A 19,536-nucleotide genomic window follows, 5' to 3' on the forward strand; every position below is an offset into this window, starting at 1 on the left:
AGAAGTAGAATCACAATACAGGGAGTTGTGCAAGTGAGTCATCCATCCAGGTGGGCTAGACTAGAAGAGAGAATCCAGACGCAGACCTAGAAGCATAGTGTGGTAGCTGTTTTTTTGGTCACTTAGCCATTAGCATCCAGTTCCCCTTCTCAAGTCAAGGTGACTCCCTGAAAGCTCCTTCCCTTTTAGGGAGTTGTCTTTACCTTGCTGTGTGTAGCTCTGGTAGGACATAGTGCCTGCTTCCTAGGGCAGAAATCAAAAGGATCAGATCTTCCCCTTCCCCTCCCACTGCAGCCTGGTGTAAGCCTGCAACCCAGCCTGGCCAATCACATGTTCTCCCCTAGGACTTTGACTTGGCAGGTGAGTCAAAGATGTAGGGAACACAGCTTCTAGGAGGAGCAGTTACTGGCTCACTGTGCGGCCTAATGGCGGCTGTGGCTCCTGATGCCTAGGCTCTAGAGCTCTCCTACCTAACTCCAGTGTTTTTCCAAGCCTGCAGTCTGGTTTCTTTTGTTCTGTGAGCCTCAACTGTACTTCTAGTACATTTTCTTTAGGTAGAGTGAAACAAAGTTTCTGTTGCCTACAGATCAGACTGGTAACTGACACATGTAGACACCAGGAAAACTAGGTGTGAGAGAGAAGGTTTGAAATAGAAAGTGGGAAGCAAAGCCTGGAGCAGCTCCCTGGTTTAAGTTGAAAAGAAGTCTCAAAAGAAACCTTGAGAGAGGCTGAACAGCCTCCTGACTTGCCACCCGTTGGCTTCTTGGAGCTTTCTGCAGTGACCTCCTGGAAAACAGCCATGATCTGAACATATTCTGCGTTTTCCCATAACACATCTGCCTCACGCTTTCCATTGTGATCTCTCTACAGAAAACCCACCTGGTAAACCAACTCACCCTACAGTAGTAATCATTTTCTTATCCTTTGAAAATGTTTGGTGGGGCACAGCGGCTCATACCTGTAATACCAGCACTTTGGGAGGCTGAGGTGGGAGGATTCCTTGAGCCCAGGAGTTTCAGACCAGCCTGGTCAACATAGTAAGAACCCATCCTAAAGTAAAAAAAAAAAAAAAAAAAAAAAAAATTGCTGACAAATTTGATAATAGAAAGCACTATGGGAAAAACAAAGATAATAGATGTGATCCCTGACCTAACATAGTACTGGGGTGGAGATAAGATGGTATCACTATTGTCAGTAAAATCACATTGGCCAGGCATGGTGGCTCACGCCTGTAATCCCAACACTTTGGGAGGCTGAGGCAGGTGGATCACCTGAGGTTAGGAGTTCAAGACTAGCCTGGCCAACATGGTGAAACCCCATCTCTACTAAAAATACAAAAATTAGCCAGGCGTGGTGGTGGGTACCTGTAATCCCAGCTACTTGGGAGGCTGAAGTAGGAGAATTGCTTGAACCCAGAAGATGGAGGTTGCAGTGAGCCGAGATGGTGCCACTGCACCCCAGCCTGGGCTACAGAGTGAGACTCCGTCTCGAAAACAAAAAACAAAAAAAAAGAATCACATCTGTGTCGTACTTTACAACATGCAAAGCACTTTTATTTTCTCTCTCATTAAAGGCTTGATTACAGTAACCGTAAGGTCAAACAGCATGAGATTCATACAAAGAGATTCCTGAGGGACAAAAGGGAGCAAGAAAAGGTTTGTGGGGCTGATAAGGTTTGAGCTGGATCTCAAAAGATGGTGTATTAGTCTGTTTTCACACTGCTATAAAGAGACTGTGTAATTTATAAAGAAAAGAGGTTTAATTGACTCACGGTTCCACAAGCTTAACAGGAACCATGGTTGGGAGGCCTCAGGAAACTTACAGTCATGGTGGAAGGTGAAAGGGAAGCAAGCATGTCTTACCATGGTGGAGCAGGAGAGACAAAGAACAAAGGGGGAAGTGCCACACACTTTTAACCATCAGATCTTGTGAGAACTCACTCACTATCACAAGAACAGCATGAGGGAAATCCACCCCCATGATCCAATCACCTCCCACCAGGCCGCCCCTCCAATTCAACGTGAGATTTGGGTGGGGACACAAATCCAAACCTCATCAATGGGTAAGAACCGAATTTCGAGACTGGCACTGGGCAGTCCATGCAGCAGAAGACCCTATGCGGTAATAGAACCCAGTGATGGTATTTGAGGAACTTACAGGTCAGGTTTGCCTCATGGGTGCTTGAAGTAGGGTGACATTAGATAATAACTTTTTTTTTTTAAGAGACAATGTCTTGCTCTGTCACAAAGGCCGGAGTGCAGTGGTGGGATCACAGCTCACTGCAGCCTCAAACTCCTGAATTCAAGCAATCCTCCCACCTGAGCCTCCTGAGTAGCTGGGACAACAGGCACGGGCCACCACGCCCCATGAATTTTTTATTTTTTATTTTTAGAGACAGGGTCTTGTAGTGTTGTTGCCTAGGCTGGTCTCAGACTCCTGACCTCAAGCCATCCTCCCGCTTTGGTCTCCCAAAGCACTAGGATTATAGGTGCCCAGCACTGCTTACACCATTCTTAGTGTTTTACATATCATAAATTTAATTCTAATGAAAGCCCTGTGAGGTAGGTCCTATTATTATCCCCATTTAACAGTTAAGGAAACTGAGGCACCTGGAGGTTTAGAGACTTGCTGAAAGCCACACAGCTGGTAAATGGTAGAACTAGGTTTCAGAGGTAAGAACTAATCCCTAAGAGGTAAGAGGTAATCCCTACACTACACAACCTCTGTTTCATAGAGCCAGAGTACTTTAGGGCTCTGGCATGAAGAGCCTTAAATGCCAAGCAACCACTGCAGCTTTATCTGGGAGGATTTTGGCATGGGAAAACACCAGTGGTTTCTGAGCTGGCAAATTAACTCCTTTAAGATTAATATAGGGGGCTAGGTACAGTGGCTCATGACCGTAATCCCAGCACTTTGGGAGGCTGAGGTGGGCAGATCACTTGAGGCCAAGAGTTTGAGACCAGCCTGGCCAACATGGCAAAACCCCATCTCTACTAAAAATACCAAAATTAGACGAGTGTGGTGGCACGCGCCTGTAATCCCAGCTGCTTGGGAGGCTGAGGCGTGAGAATCTCTGGAACCCCAGAGGTGGGAGTTGCAGTGAGCTGAGATTGTGCCACTGTATTGCAGCCTGGGCAACAGCGTGAGATTCTGTCTCCGAAAAAAAAAAAACACAAAAAACTCGGGAGGCCGAGGCAGGAGAATGGCATGAACCCGGGAGGCAGAGCTTACAGTGAGCCGAGATCGCGCCACTGCACTACAGCCTGGGCGACAGAGCGAGACTCCGTCTCAAAAAAAAAAAAAAAAAAAAAAGATTACCGTAGGGTTTCAGAGAAAGCTGAATTGGAAAAGATGCAACTTGGAGATCATTTACAGATGTCAATTATATTGCAATAGAGTGGAGGTAAAACCAGGGCAACAGTAACAATTATACACTCATTGATTTTTCGACTGCTCTCGGGGTTCCTGCATTTATTTCTGCAGATTCCCGTTAACATCTTACTGTGTGTTCAAGAGCAAGTCCTCTGGCTCCCACTGCTGCCGTGGTCAGGGTGATGAGCATCATGCCAGTGACTTCCTCTCAAAAGGTCCGGGAAAACAAAGTCTGCAACGGCTTCAACATAAAAAGTAATAATAAAAATAAAAGCTTCACCTGAGCAAAGGTTACAGTGTGTGAGCCCTAACCATTGCTGCTGGCATGCTTATTAGCATAATCATCCTATCCATATAGTATTCCAGCAAATTGCAATGACTCATCCAGGCCTCCGCTGAGTTTCCTAAGCTCTTGACAACTTTAAGCACAGAAACAAGCCCTTCAAAACGCCCTGTATTTTGATGTATTTGCTGCCAAAGTGAGCCTGACAGTACTATGTTTTTATTCTATAACAGTCTTTTATTCCCTTTTATTTTTAGAGGCAAGGCCTCTGTCACCTAGGCTGGAGTATGGTGACGTGATCATAACTCACTGCAGCCTCGAATTCCTGAGCTCAAGCAATCTGCCCGCTTCAGCCTCCTGAGTAGCAGGGACTGCAAATGTGCAGCACTATACTTGGCTAATTTTTTTTTTTTTGATACAGAGTCTCTGTCACCCAGGCTGGAGTGCAGTGGCATGATTTTGGCTCACTGCAACCTCTGTCTCCCAGGTTCAAGCAATTCTTCTGTCTCAGCCTCCTGAGTAGCTGGGATTACAGGCGTGAACCACCATGCTTGGCTAATTTTTATATTTTTAGTAGAGGGGGTTTCACCACGTTGGCCAGGCTGGTGTTGAACTCCTGACCTCAGGCGATCTGCCCACCTCGGCCTCCCACAGTGCTGGGATTACAGGCAAGAGCCACTGTGCCCGGCGAACCTGGCTAATTTTTTATTATTTTTTGTAGAGATGGGCTCTTGCTATGGTTCCCAGGCTGATCTTGAACTCCTGGGTTCAAACTATTCTCCCTGCTCAAAGCGTTGGGATTATAGCCATTAGCCACCATGCCTGGCCCTAAAGTCGTTGTTTGGAGCCTCTGGGTAAAATCTTGGAGTTTAATTCATCTGACTCTGGGTAAAGGAAAGGAAAGAGGAGGTGGAGTAAAGGAGAAATACCAATGTGTGTTTCCTGCTGTCTTTCTAAACCCATAATGAGTTAGATCAAAGGGCTTAAATGTTTTAAGATGTAGGTAGAACAGGACCCTGTAAACCTCTGTGAGTTTTTCTTAGTGCTAAACGCATCTTCCCTTAGAATTGACTAAGCCTATTCAAAGCCTCTAGTCTGTAGCTAATGGTTCCTGGAGTGGGTTCATGGTATTTGAACCTTCTTGGGTAGGAGTGGCATGGATGGAACCCTATGGGCTATTGTTCTGTGCATCAGGTACCAGGATCAGGTTTTCGAGAACTGACCTCAAAATTTCCCATGATTTTAGGCAAATGTCAAGGATTTTTCCTCTTCTTCTCCTTTTTTCTTCCTCTTTTCTTAATTTCCTCCTCTTCTTCTTACCTTCCTCCTCCTGCTCTTCTTTTTTTAAAAAATTCCATTTTTATTTCAGATTCAGAGAGTACATGTATAGGTTTGTTACAAGGGTATATTACGTGATGCTGAGGTTTGAGCTTCGTTTAATCCAGTCACCCAGATAGTGACGAAAGTACCCAATAGGAAATGTATCAGCTCTTGCCCCCCGCTCCCTCCCTCTCTCCTATTGGAGTCCCTAATGTCTGTGTGTTCCCAAGACTTGGTTCCCACTTATAAGTGAGAACATACGATATTTAGTTTTCTGTTTCTGCATTAATTCACTTAATTGCATGTCATCCTCGCACAGGGACCATGATAATCTCCATATCGTTCCAGTTGTAGTGTATGTGCTGCTGAAGTGCTCCTACTCTTCCTCTTCCTCTTCCTTCTCCCCTTTCTTTCACTTCTTTGGTCTTATGAGATCGCTACTGATCTTTACAGATATTGACTGTTTAATTTGGGTGGAGGAGATCAAGATGATGTAGATCTTCTATGTGGAATGGGGACTTACGGCACACCTATTTACTTTTTCAGCCGTGTCTACACATAGATATGAGTCATAAGGCTGCATTCCTGTATTTTTAAAATCTTCATCAGCACACCCATGTTCATTGCAGTGCTACTTACAATAGCCAAAAAGGAGAAACAACCCAAATGCCCATTGATGGATGAATGTATAAACGTGATATGTACATACAATGGAATTATTCATTCTTAAAAAGGAAGGAAATTCTGACACATGCTACAATGTGGATGAACTTTCAAAACATTATGCTAAGTGAAATAAGCCAGGCACAAAAGGACAGATATTATATTATTCCATTTAAAGGAAGTACCTGAAATAGTAAAATTCAAAGAGACAGAAAGTACAATAGTAGTTACCAGGGACTGCGGAGAGGGGAGAATGGGGAGTTATTGTTGCATGGATATGAAGTTTAGGATGATGATAAGGTTCTAAAAGTTGATAGTGCTGATGGTTTCATTGTAATATGAGTGTATTTAATGCCACTGAACTGTGTACTTAAAAAATGTTAAAATACTAAATTTTATGTTACATACATTTTATCGTAATAAAATCTTGATCAATATTATACAAATATGAAAAAATTTATGGCTGCTGGGATCCCACTTGGTAATGACAGATTTTGTGTTTAAGAATTAAAACTGGGCTGGGCATGGCGGTTCACACCTGTAATCCCAGCACTTTGGGAGGCCAAAGCAGGAGGATCGCTTGAGCCCAGGAGTTTGAGACCAGCCTGGGCAACATGGCAAGATCCCATCTTTATGAAAAAAATAAAAACTTAGCCAGGCACGGTGGTGCACGCCTGTATTTCCAGCTACTTGGGAGGCTGAGGTGGGAGGATCCCTTGAGCCTGGAGAGTTCGAAGCTGCAGTGAGCAGAGAGACCACTGCAGCAGAATGCCTGGGCAACAGAATGCCTGGGCAACAGAATGAGACTCTGTCTCAAAAAAAAAAAAAAAACAAAGTAAAACTGGTATATCCTCTTTTGTATAACATTTGCAATCGTGGGTGAACTGGAACCCTCTTAATGCTCCTTTCTTGTCGTGATCTAGCAGCCACCATTCATATAATGTCATTTTCTCTAAGAAATCCAAACATCTGTAAACACTGTATTAAGCCGTGTCAATAGGAGCCAGGAGCTTGAGCTCTGGTTTCTGTTTTGATTGAGTCTCTCTCTTCACTTTGCTGGGCCTCAGCTTCTCCATCCATAAAGACTTGGGTCTTGGACTCCATGAGCACAGAGGGGCCCTTTCTGCAGTGGCTGTTGGCTGTGTGAGGGCTGTCCCTGTCATCGCTGATACAGTACACTGCCTTTTGCTGCTTCCAGTTTACTCGTAGAGACTCACTAGAGATGTGAAGAGCAGCGCTCCAGGCCTCCAGGCATAGGTGCAGAGAAATATTGGCAGGCAGAGTGGAATGCAGGCTCAGAATAGGTCTGCGAGCTCAGGATTTCCAGTCTTCTGCATGAGTTTTTACATTGTCTTTGAAGGATTTCTGAAAGTGAAAGCACAGGCGATGTTATCTGTTAAGGTTTTTGCATTTTATCTTCCTCCTAATCTGGACTTTACCTCACTTACAAAATAATATAGCACAGAGCCCGGGGGATGAGAGTAACAAAGAAATAGAAAAGATAGGAGTTCTGTGGGAAGATTGATGAATTCATGTTAAGTATGCAGAAACAGTGGGAAAGTCACTCCACTGTAGCTGGAGACACATGAGGAGAAGAAGAGAGTATTGGAGTGAGGCAGTTATTAAAGGTAAAGCCAGAAGAGCAACCTCAGGCTGTTCTCCCATCAATGTCTTTGGAAAGATAACTGCAGGAGGCAGTGAAAAGTAGAGGGGCAAGTCCAAAAGCTGGTATCTTTGGGCTGATTAGAAATGCCTGATGAAATGTTTCAAAGCCCAACCTGTCTGTCAATAAAAATAATATCAATGACAACAGCAAATCAGGACAGAAATGTAGAAATGACAGTTAAAACATCTCAGCCATGCTCCTTTGTACATGTACATAGGAGAGCTGACTGCCTTCTAAAGCCCCAGGAACTTCTGCTCTTGGGACCTCCAATCCAAAGGGACCATTTTTCTGGCCTCTGTAAGTCGGGGCTGTGATTCTTTTCTAGGCTTATGAAAACTGTGAAAACTGTTGCTCAGATACCAGTGCTGTTCTGAACTTCCCAAGTGGGCCTTTCTTCCTGTCTTTGTAGAGTTGGCTTTTACCATGCGTGCTTTGCATTTGACTTCAAATCTTGTTTAAATTAAAATGATTGTTAAATGACTATATTGACAATCCTCCAGTTGAAGGTTTAAAATCTGTGGGATTTTAGAGGTCTTTATACAGCTCTTCTCACAAGCAAGAGGCTGCTCTGGTTCTCAGTAGCAGAAGAGAAGGTTCCCACCTGGCAAGTCCATTTTCTATCATTTGAGCAGAGAGAGAGTGAGGGAAAGTTGCAGCATTGAAGCTGAAAGGCCCCTCTCTCTTGGTTCCCTCTTAAAAGGAAGCAGGGAGAGGTGGAGTTGGCCTGCTTCACAATCAACTGCGAAAGGTCTTTAAATGTCAAGAATAAAGAAGTCCGGACGAACTCTGCTAAGGTACAATTTGTGGTAAATTGCCTCTCCACCTCCCAATCATGTAATTTGCACTTCCCAGATGGTTAAGGACCATGGTTCCACCAAGCTCTGTGTTCATTAGAACATGGTTTCAAGCTGAGATCTCCACGCAAAGGCTATTCAGTTTCAATTCCAACCCTGCCTCAAATTTTGGAACTTTGGGCAATATTTTTACCCACCTCAGCTTCCCCTTCAGAGAACAGGAAATAATCTACATTGTAGAGTTGTTTGGAGCTGGAACTGGTAACCATGCTCACCAAAGATTTAATATTAGATTTAATATTATACAAATGCTGCCCTCTTTCTCCTGCTCTCACCACATGACTGACATACCTGCCCCCATTTTGCCTTCTACCATGATTGTAAGCTTCTTGAAACCCTCACCAGAAGCCAAGGAGATAATTGGTGCCATGCTTATATAGCCTGCAGAACCATAAGCCAGTTAAACCTCTTTTCTTTATAAATTACCCAGCCTCAGATATTTCTATGCAGTAACACAAAAATGACCTAATATAGAAAACTGGTACCAAAGAATGGGGCATTGCTATAAAGATACCTGAAAATGTCAAAGCAGCCTTGGAACTGGGTAACAGGCAAAGGTTGGAAGAGTTTGGAGGGCTCAGGAGAAGAAAAGATGAGGGAAAGTTTGGAATTTCTTAGAGACTGGTTAAATACTTGTGACTAAAAATGCTGATAGTTATATGGACAGTGAAGGCCAGGCTGATGCGGTCTCAGATGGAAATAAGGAACTTACTGAGAACTGGAGCCAAGGTCTCCTTTGTTGTACTGTAGCAAATAAATTGGCTGCATTGTGTTCATTCCCTAGGGATCTGTGGTAGTTTGAACTCAAGAGTGGTGACTTAGGGTATCTGTTGAAAGGAATTTTTAAGCAGCAAAGCATTTAAGATGTGGCCTGGCTGCTTCTAACAGTTTACACGCAGATATGCCAAGGAGGGGGACCTTAGGAAATAACCCAGGCTCTCAGTTGAGGCTCTGGGAGGACCACACCCTAGAAGTGGAGGCAAAACAGAAGTAGTCTGAGCCTTACAAAGATTTCTAACCAGCCATGAATTAGCTCAGTCTTTGATTGGATTGAAGTGATGTGCTTCTTTGCTGTTTGAAGCCTTCAAGAAGATCAGGTGAGTCCTCTCTGGAAGGAGAGAACCCAGCCTCTAAATTTTTTTTTTTTTTGAGACAGAGTCTTGCTCTGTCGCCCAGGCTGGAGTGCAGTGGCACAGTCTCGGCTCACTGCAACCTCCACCTCCCGGGTTCACACCATTCTCCTGCCTCAGCCTCCCGAGTAGCTGGGACTACAGGCGCCTGCCACCACGCCCAGCTAATTTTTTGTATTTTTAGTAGAGACAGGGTTTCACCGTGTCAACCAGGATGGTCTCCATCTCTTGACCTCGTGATCCACCTGCCTCGGCCTCCCAAAGTGCTGGGATTACAGGCGTGAGCCACCGCGACTGGCCACCTCTAAAATTTTTGAGGCATGATGTGTGAAGTCTAATTAAAAATTACCAAGCATCTAAGAAACAGACCACAAGAAAAACAAGATAATAGACAGAGACCTAAAGGTGACCTAGATGTTGGAGTTTCAGATAGACTTTCAAATAATTGTGATTAATATATTCAAGAATATAGTTTACAGGATGGAGAATTTCAGCAGAGAACTTAAATTTATTAAACAATTAAGTGGAAATTTGAGATCTAAAATATACTTCTGAAATTAAGAACTCAGCAGATTGGACTTAAAGAGAAAATTAGTGAACTGGAAGCAGGTCCATAGAAATATCCAGTCTGAATCATATTGAGTAAAAAGAATGGTAGCTATAATAATGAGAATAAAAGTTATGTGGCTTGTAGTTAAAAGGGTTTAACATGGGAGGATCAGAGAGAGATTAGAGGAAAAATGGGGCACAACAGTATTTAAGAGATAAAGGCTGAGAATTTTCCAAAGCTGATGAAAGACATCAAGCTACAGATTTTAGAAGCATTGTGTAACCCAAGCTGAATAAATTAAAAGAAGCTCACACCCTGCTACACCAGAGTAAAACTGCTAAAAAACAAAGATAAAGAGGCTAACTTTAAAATCAGCTATAAATGAAAGATAGCTGTATTAGTGTGCTCTTGCACTGCTCTGAAGAAATACCTGAGACTGGGTAATTTATAAAGAAAAGAGGTTTAATTGGCCGTGATCCTGCATGCTGTACAGGAAGCATAGTGGCTTCCACTTCTAAGGAGGCCTCAAGAAGCTTCCAATCATGGCAGAAGGCAAAGAGGGAGTGAGGTGTTTCACATGGCAGGAGCAGGAGCAAGAGAGAGCAAGGCAGGAGGTGCTGCATGCTTTTAAACAACAGGATCTTGCAAGAACTCACTCACTACCATGAAAATAGCACCAAGGGGATTATGCTGAACCGTTCATGAGAAATCCATCCCCATGATCCAGCCACCTCCCACCATTGGAGACTACAATTTGACATGAGATTTGTCGGGGACACAGATCCAAACCATATCAGTAGATCATGTGTCTTTTCAAAGATGCAGTAATACAAGCTTATCTACAAAAATTCTATGCTTCAGGTGTTCAGGTGTTCAGGTGTGGTGGCTTATGCCTGTAATTCCAGCACTTTGGGAGGCTAAGGTGGGAGGATTGCTTGAGGCAGGAGTTCCAGACCAGACTAGGGAAGATGGCAAGAACTCATCTCTACAAAAAATTTTAAAAGTAGCCAGGTATGCTGGCATGAGCCTGTAGTCCCAGCTACTTGGGAGACTGAGGCAGGAGGATCCCCTGAATCCAGGAGTTCAAGGTTGCCCAGCAGCTATGATTTAGCCACTGCACTCCAGCCTTGGTGACTGAGACCCTGTCTTAAAAAAAAAAAAAAGAATCAGCAGTCATGTTATTATAATTGATAAATAAACTTAGCAAAGTCTCTGGTTATAAGATCAATATATAAAAATAAGTTACATTTTATATCCACTAATTAAAAAATTAGAAAATAGAAATTTTAGTCTATACCATTTACAATAAATTCAGAAACACCAAATATATAAGAATAAACCTATCAAAATATGTACAAGACCTCTATACAGAAAACTTCAACACATTTGTTAAGAGAAATTAAAGATGATATAAATACATGAGGAGTCAGCCCATGTTCATGGATTAAAAGATTCAATATTGTAAAAACATCAGTTTAAAAAGTTATAGATTTAATGCCATCTAAAAGCAATCTCAATAGTATATTCATGTATGTGTATATGTATAAATTTATGTAGAAGCCAGGTGTGGCGGCTCACGCCTATAATCCCAGTACTTTGGGAGGCCAAGGTGGGCTGATCACTTGAGGCCAGGAGTTCTATACCAGCCTGGCCAACATGGCAAAACCCCATCTCTACCAAAAATACAAAAATTAACCAGGCGTGGTGGTGGGCACCTGTAATCTGAGCTACTTGGGAGGCTGAGGCAGGAGAATTGCTTGAACCCAGAAGGTGGAGGTTACACTAAGCCGAGATCATGCCACTGCACTCCAGCCTGGGTAGCAGAGCAAGACCTTGTCTCAAAAAAAAAAAAAAAAAAAAAGTAAAAAGAAAAAAAAGAAAAGAAAAGAAAGAAAGAAAAAAACCCAGAAAACCAGAGCTGAAAAACTTAAACTACTAGATATCAAGACTCCTTAAAAAGCTACAGCAATTAAGATAGTGTGTTATTGGTATAAAAACAGGTAAGTAAAAAAAGTAAAAACAAAACAACAACAACAAAAAACAGACAAGTAGACCAGTGGAACAGAGGCCAGAAAAAATTATAATATAGACAGTTACTTAATTTATAGCAAATTGCTCATTGTCTTCAAACCTTAGTTTCCTTGTCCATAAAACAGCCTTACTAACAGTGCCTACCACATAAGTTTTAAATATTATATATCAAAAAGATTCTGATATTATGTTAAAGAGGTTAGCATATATGCAAGATACATCACAAGTGTCCAATAAAATTTAGCTAGGATAAATGTTACCACTGTGACCACCACTATTATAATTACTACTACTGCTATTATTACTTTTCATTTTCTCTATTTTTCAATATGATCATCTGGAAGTGAGTAATGAATGGACATCAGATCTTTGCCGGCAACAGGAATGTTTGGAGTTCAACACCAAAGAGCAGGAGAGTGCCAATTCTTAGCCTATGTGGAAAAATAAATCAGGGGGATAGACTTCATGACGCAGTCAAGGTTGACTTAGAAACTGGAATGGAACTTAGCCTAGCACTGGTGTATTCTGTACACACAACTGTGAGAAATTAGTAAACATATATATATATATATATATATATATATATATATATATATATATATATATATGCCCTTTGCAAAAATACAATGTAGAAATGAAGTCATTTACCCCTTCTCTCAACTGAGTCATAACCAGGGATCTGAAAAAGAAGTTTAGACAGAGAATATTCAGAAGTGCGATTCCACAACTTCAAATGAAAAGTTTATTTCATAACATTTTTAGGTGAACTTGGAAGCTCAGTTTGTGACATAGGTCCCAGGTTCTTTGAGGACAGGGAGATCATAACATATTAATCTCCCTGCATGTTTCCTAAAAGAGTGCCTCATATTTCATAAAGGGAATTGCTGCTATATGGTGCCCTGGGTTATTTAGCTGAAGACGTATGCCTTATTCTAGCTATTTAGTGTCTTCAACCCTCTCACAGTCCAGGCCCCATGGCATCTGCACCGTCTTCCTCTCCCATACCCTGTGTCACTCATGATGGCAATACTATATGACCTTCTACCACTTTAAAATATGGCAGCTGGCTGGCATGAGATTATTCTCAGCAGATCTGAGTTCAGTTTCTCACTCTACTCCTTCAATTTGGATGTCTTTATATAAGTTATTTACTCTCTGAGTTTCATCTGTCACAAGATGGTGATGATGGGGATTAAATGAGATAATGAAAGTAAAACTCCACACAGTTTTTTTTTTAAATCAAAGTAAGGGTTGATGTTTATAATAATTATTATTATTGCCTAAGATCACATAGCCAGGAGGCTCACATCCAAGTCTTTCATTTGTAAACCTCGCACACTTTTACACCGTGCTGCCTGTAATTTAGCAAACTAGATGATAAAATTTGGTAATTAGTCTTCCCAACTGGGTCTAGACTTGGGCAGATAACAAGTACAGCTGCCCCAGGACCTTGCCCACTGCATTCTGTAATTCAGTTCGGAGGCACTGCCTGGGAACACCTGCCCCCAACGCTGGCTATTCTTTCATGCACTTGGTCACTGAGAAAACCCCAGTAGGGGCCCCTTTCTGGGGAGGGGAAGGAGGAGGTTGTGCTCTCTCTCCCCTCCAAGTGCTGCCTGTGTTGCCTGGCATTGTGGCAATGTGCATGCCTTGCTGCTCTTCCTGCCCCTGTGAGGAGCTGGCAGCCTCAGTGTGTACTCTTTCCCAGAGATAAGTTAGTTTCCAAGATCAAGTAGGGAACAGTTTGCTTCCTTACTGCTATCTTACTCGCTTACTTCTGCTGCTTCCTCTTTGTGCATTTCTTTTTTTTTGTTTGTTTTTTTTTTTTTTTGAGACTGAGTCTCGCTCTGTCTCACCTAGGCTGGAGTGCAGTGGCGCAATCTTGGCTCACTGCAATCCCCGCCTCCCGGGTTCAAGCGATTCTCCCATCTGAGTCTCCCAAGTAGCTGGGATTATAGGCGCCAGCCATCATGCCCGGCTAATTTTTTTGTTTTTGTTTTTGTTTTTTTGGTATTTTTAGTAGAGACGGGGTTTCACCATATTGCCCAGGCTGGTCTCGAACTCCAGACCTCAGGTGATCTGCCTGCCTCTGCCTCCCAAAGTGCTGGGCTTGGCATGAGCCACCGTGCCTGGCTGTCTTTGTGCATTTCACACGGCTTATACCTCATTGTCTGGTAGAAGTCCAGACTTCCTCCAAGTCCAGACTTTCAACTAAAAAGTGTTTTAGCTGGGCTTAGTGGCTCATGCCTGTAATGCCAGTGCTTTGTGAGGAAGCCAGGAGTTCAAAACCAGCCTGGGTAACATAGCAAGACCCCAGCCCTACAAAAAATAATATAAATTAGCTGGATGTGGGAGCAGATGTCTGTATTCCTAGCTACTCTGCAGGATCACTTGAGCCCAGGAGTTTGAGGCTACATTGGGCCATGATCACACCACTGCACTCCAGCCTGGGCAACAGAATAAAACCTTGTCTCTAAAAAATATAAATAAATAAAAATAAAAATTTAAAAAGTTTTTGTTGGATACCAGCCACCTATAAGGTGTTCCATATATGCAAAGCCTGTCAGAATGGCCCTAACACAAATGTCTCCCATTTTCCCGAAATTGCTAAAGCATTTATTGTCTCTATCAACAATTCTCTAGTCCTCTTCCAAAGTCTTTGTTTGGGATGTGTACATCTTTCTTCCAGTTTGGTTGTCATCTGAAAGAAAGAAATCCTTGCCTCTTACTTCTAGATTTGCATGTTACTTAATAAATTCTGGTTGGCAAGACTTACTGGGACAAAACTGATAGTGACAGCTCAGCTGGAGAAAGGCTCTTCCAATTAAAAGTTCTGCAGTGCCTTCTGTCTTGGATCCTATACAAATAAGTAACTGTCTTTGTGTTCTCACGGTGAATGGCTCTGAACCAGGGCTATGTAAGAGATGGGGACCCTTTTGTCTACCCAGCTCCTTGGCTGACCCCCAGCAGACAGGGACACAATGCTGAAAGTGCTTGCCGAATGAGACTGGGAATGTGGGTGGAGTCCCTCCAATCAGGAATAATGGAAAACTGAATTGCCAAAAGAAATTTTATCCTAATAAAATGAAGCACATGATTTACCTTCCAGGTCCTTCAACTATTCTATGGGAACCCGGGCATTTTCCCATGACAGTATTTTTATCCCTGATGGGGGAGCAGAAAGTGAGCAGACAGTTCAAGCAATGTCACAGGACAACATCCTGGGCAAAGTCAAAACTCTTCAGGTAAGACAGCTTGAGAGTGGAATTACGAGCCATAGGAGGGGCCCAGTTATGAAGGGAAGTGGGAAAAGTCCCGAGCTTGGCCTTGAGTAATGGATTGGGAGGTCCAGAGGTCACTCCTGGTGAGAATTATTGCTTTCTTGAATTCAACTGTATTCTCTGGAAACCTCCTGCCTACCTGCAAGAGCTACACTATCACCACTGCAGCCATCTGCATGACACACCCTCTCCTTTTCTTTCAAATTGTTCCCTCATATTTTACTGGACATGAAAACAAGTACCCAAGAGAAGCTGCAGGACTTGGGGCCAGGCGCGGTGGCTCAGGCCTGTAATCCCAGCACTTTGGGAGGCCGAGGCGGGTGGATCACTTGAGGCCAGGAATTCAAAAGCAGCCTGGGCAACATGGCGAAACACTGTCTCTACTAAAAATGCAAAAATTAGCTGGATGTGGTGGCACACACCTGTAATCCCAGCTACAAGGGAGGCTGAGGCAGGAGAATCACTTGAATCCGGGAGGCAGAGGTTGCAGTGAGCCGAGATCATGCCACTGCACTCCAGCCTGGGTGACAGAGCAAGGCTCTCTCCCCAACAACAACAACAACAACAAAAAGCTATAGGACTTGGATGAGAGGAAGAGTTCCTAACCGTTAAGCATTGCCCATAATCCCTGAATCAGGGCTGACTGTTGACTGAGCGTGTGCACAACACATATCCACTTTCCGAGTCTCTGTAATTGGACAGTGAATGATACGACTCTATTTTTCTGTTGTATTTGTAAATCTCGCCACCCTAAGCCACCTTGTCTCAGAAGAAAATCACAAAGCTCTTAAGCCACTTCCAGTTCACTCTGCAGAGTGGGGCAGTTTTCCTACCTAAAATCTACTCGGGTGGTACCTCCCTAACAATGAAAATATAATAAATAATTATTCACTACATATGATTGAAATGACAGATAATACAGGAAAAGCAAGAAGAGCAGAGGCACTTAGAGCCTGACTATGAGGTCTGCCTAGCTGCTTGGCAGATAGAATTCTCTCATCTGGCCAGGCACAGTGGCTCACTCCTATAATTCCAGCACTTTGGGAGGCCGAGGTGGGTGGACTGCTTGAACTCAGGAGTTTGAGACTAACCTGGGCAACATGGTGAAACCCCATCTCTACCAAAAATACAAAAGTTAGCCGGGCATGGTTGTGCATGCCTGTAGTCCCAGCTTCTCAGGAGGCTGAGGTGGGAGGATGGCTTGAGCCCAGGAAGCAGAGGTTGCAGTGAACTGAGATTGCACCACTGCATGCCTTCCTGGGTGATAGAGTGAGAGCTTGTCCAAAAAAAAAAAAAAAATTCGCTTACCCAAGAGAAATGCCCAAGCAAGCACTTCTCTGAGGCTCTCCAGCTAGCTGCTTGGAGGGTCTCCAGGTTATGAACAGAGGGCTCTGGTCTGCTGGCTTCCACCTGTCTGTAAGTCTACAACAATGGATTAAATGAATGAATCAATAAACGAGCAAAAAAAAAAAAAGGAAAAGAGAACAACTGCCCTCAGTAGCTACTGATATGCTGAAGCACTGTACTCAGTAGAGATCAGCAGGAGATCGAGACCATCCTGGCTAACACAGTGAAACCCCGTCTCTACTAAAAATACAAAAAATTAGCTGGGCGTGGTGGCAGGCGCCTGTAGTCCCAGCTACTCAGGAGGCTGAGGCAGGAGAATCACTTGAACCCGGGAGGTGGAGGTTGCAGTGAGCCAGGATTGCACCACTGCACTCCAGCCTGGCGACAGAGAGAGATTTCCTCTCAAAAAAAAAAGAAAATTATTTGTGAGGTGTTCTTGTTTCTATGGAGCGTAGGCTGTGTATTTTGTGATATTTTGTGGAAATTGTGTCTGGTCACATATTCCACATAACACCCAGCTAAATGTAGCATGTGGCAGACAGGGAAGTAGCCAAGAGACCTTGGAACGACACCCAACTTGCCTAGGTCTTGATGCCTGCTGCCACCGCTGCCCAAAGCCATAGTCCTGCCCTCAGGGCCAACCCCCAGACATGTCCTTCAAATCTTAGCATTTCCTAACTGGCTTCCATTCTTGGTTCTAGCTGGCCGTGCTCTAACACTTTTTATAGAAAAAGCAAGCTGTGACTTCTTATAGGTTGAAGAAGAGGGAAGTATGGTGATGGCCAAAGAAAACCTTGACCCCCCTCCTCCTTACCTTTCCTTCTTCAAGTCTTTTGATTCTTGCAATATTATTCCTAAGAAGTTGTGAACTTCTGGTTCATTGGATCCCCTTTCTAAGAGGAATGACTTACAGATTTCAGTTCACAAAACAGCTGTATTTTATGAGAGCTTTTTAGGAGTTTTTAAAAAATCAGATAAAAATCTCTTGTCTTCAATGATACCTGCTCTGTCACATCATACCACATGCCACTGCCACGCCAAGAAGTGGATTTAGTGTTGTAAAAAAGTATACTATATAATTCTGCAGTATTGGAAAGATAGAAACCCAATAAAAATATTTCTGTTAACAGTAAGGCGTGATTTTAAATAACCTGATGTCATAATTAATAAAATGTAAAATGACTAACTTCCCCGAAGTGACAATTGCATAAACACAGGAAGAAAAATGTGAGTAAAGCAGAATAACTGTTTAATTTGTGTGCGCTCATTTTGACAATATCTATTCAGATGAAGTCTGCCTAGTTTTGCTTCCGCTGCATGGATTCACAAGCTTCCTTTCAGCTCTGTAGTTATACTTTTGAAAACATAAAAGGCTTTGTTCATTCTTTGAGGAGGGAAATGGGGACCATTATCATAGAAAATGTGATTTTTTTTTTGGCGTGACTTGAGATATAACTGAATCATCCCCAAAAAGACTGTGCTTTATTTTTCAGTCGACTAAGCAGTATGTTCCTGGTAAGTCGTAGAAGTGATAGTAACTTTATTAACTTGCATGAATGCTTTGCATTTTTCCATGACAACGTGATGCTGGTATTGATGCTTAGTAAGCAGCCTAAGAGACCGCCCCCTTGTAGATGCCAGCATGGAATGAGAGAATTTAGTTGTGTCTGAGGCATGTATGTTTTTATGTCTGGAATTGTCTTTGTGTATGTGTGTATGTTTATTTTTAAAAAGAGAGAAGTAATGGAAAACACCTATTTGACAGTGTATGTCCTGGCAAGCTGATTAGCCACCATTATTAAGACATTCTTCTGAGATGAGATGTCTACTGGAGTGCCTTTTTTCTCTGTGGCTTAAGAAACTTCCCAGCCCTTCGAGTTCCTAGAGACCCACGGAAGGGTGTCTGTCTGTAATGCCTGCCTTTGGAAAGGCTGCCCTCTAGTGCCTGCACATGGTGGGCTCACCGAGAACTGTCTTAGTTTGCAGGTTGGTATCTCTCCACGGAGTACAGAAGAACTCAATACAGCAAAAACCAGCCTCCCCTTTCCTGAGTAATGTGAATCTACCATCTGCCACAATTTCTGTGGCAGATTTAAAAGAAAAAAATCACTATTTAAAAGAAAAATCACCATTTTTTTTCTAAAGATAAAAATAGTGCACGTGCAGAGTGAAAACAAATTTTAATATATGGGGCAGTTATAGGGACAAAACCAACAGTGGTGTCCTTTGTGAGGACTCTGTACATAACAGAGTCGCTCTGTGGCCAGTAGTGTGAATACCATTTGAATGAGTGACAGAATGCAGTGGAATATAAAGCCAGCCCCACCTGGCTGTATGGCTTTGGGTGAAGTCGTTCAACCTCTCTGGCACTTTCTCCTCCTGAAAACTAAGGGGCATGCACACAAGGGGTGATCTCAGGGCCCCTCCTGCTCTTAAGATCTGCGATCTCTATACAATCACTATTGAACTGCTGTAGCATGGAGCGGCTTCAGAAGCTTCGCACTTCGTTGCATTTCAGCTACAATGACCTTGACATTCCCTACAGCTGCCCACCAGCATGGATCAGGGAGGGTGCCTGTTTGTGTAAGATCAGACCGGGCTGTGAGGTATGTACCAACTGGTGATAAAACTCAGGGGTACCACAGTCTGAGGCTGCAGGTAATTGTTAGGATTATACCACACCTTTGTCAGGAAATGCTTAGTCTGTTTGTACCACGGATTATCTGGTGTAGGAGGGAACACCGCCATCCTGAGTGGCTTGTATCTCCCACCGAGCTGGATTTCACTTACAAATACCAAAGTCATACATTCGGGGATTTTGACACCTTACTGCAGCTGTCAAGGACACAAAGAATAAACACCCGCTCTTAGCCACTTCTTCCTAGAGCAGGATGTCTTTAATTCTGTATGCTTTTTCTTTTTTTTTATTATTATTCATTTTAACTATGGAGATACCTGTAGTTTGCTCAAAAAGACAGCAACTTTACTTATTTATTTTTTTCTGCTTTGCTCTTTAGACATAGTCTGAAGGATAGGAAA

General features: G+C 43.0%; 1 protein-coding gene and 1 pseudogene across 10 annotated transcripts in view; one reads left to right on the forward strand and one right to left on the reverse strand.

The window, feature by feature from the left end:
• The window catches only part of CRACD (capping protein inhibiting regulator of actin dynamics), a 281,512-nt gene that overhangs the window by 234,138 nt on the left and 27,838 nt on the right, over nt 1-19,536 (forward strand). For 6 of the 10 annotated variants that reach the window (XM_047415994.1, NM_001393381.1, XM_047415995.1 and 3 more), the window contains one exon: nt 14,979-15,114. The exons of 3 other annotated variants lie outside the window; for them this stretch is intronic. In XM_047415994.1, the coding sequence (XP_047271950.1) occupies nt 14,979-15,114 (136 nt within the window). Of the gene's footprint in view, nt 1-14,978; nt 15,115-17,990; nt 18,013-19,536 lie in introns of those variants that run through there. One more of the 10 variants, XM_017008473.2, reaches the window with a different exon arrangement.
• Nucleotides 5,250-5,349, reverse strand: RNU6-197P (RNA, U6 small nuclear 197, pseudogene; annotated as a pseudogene).

This window comes from Homo sapiens, chromosome 4 (genome assembly GCF_000001405.40).
Source record: "Homo sapiens chromosome 4, GRCh38.p14 Primary Assembly".
NCBI classification, from domain to species: Eukaryota; Metazoa; Chordata; class Mammalia; order Primates; family Hominidae; genus Homo; species Homo sapiens.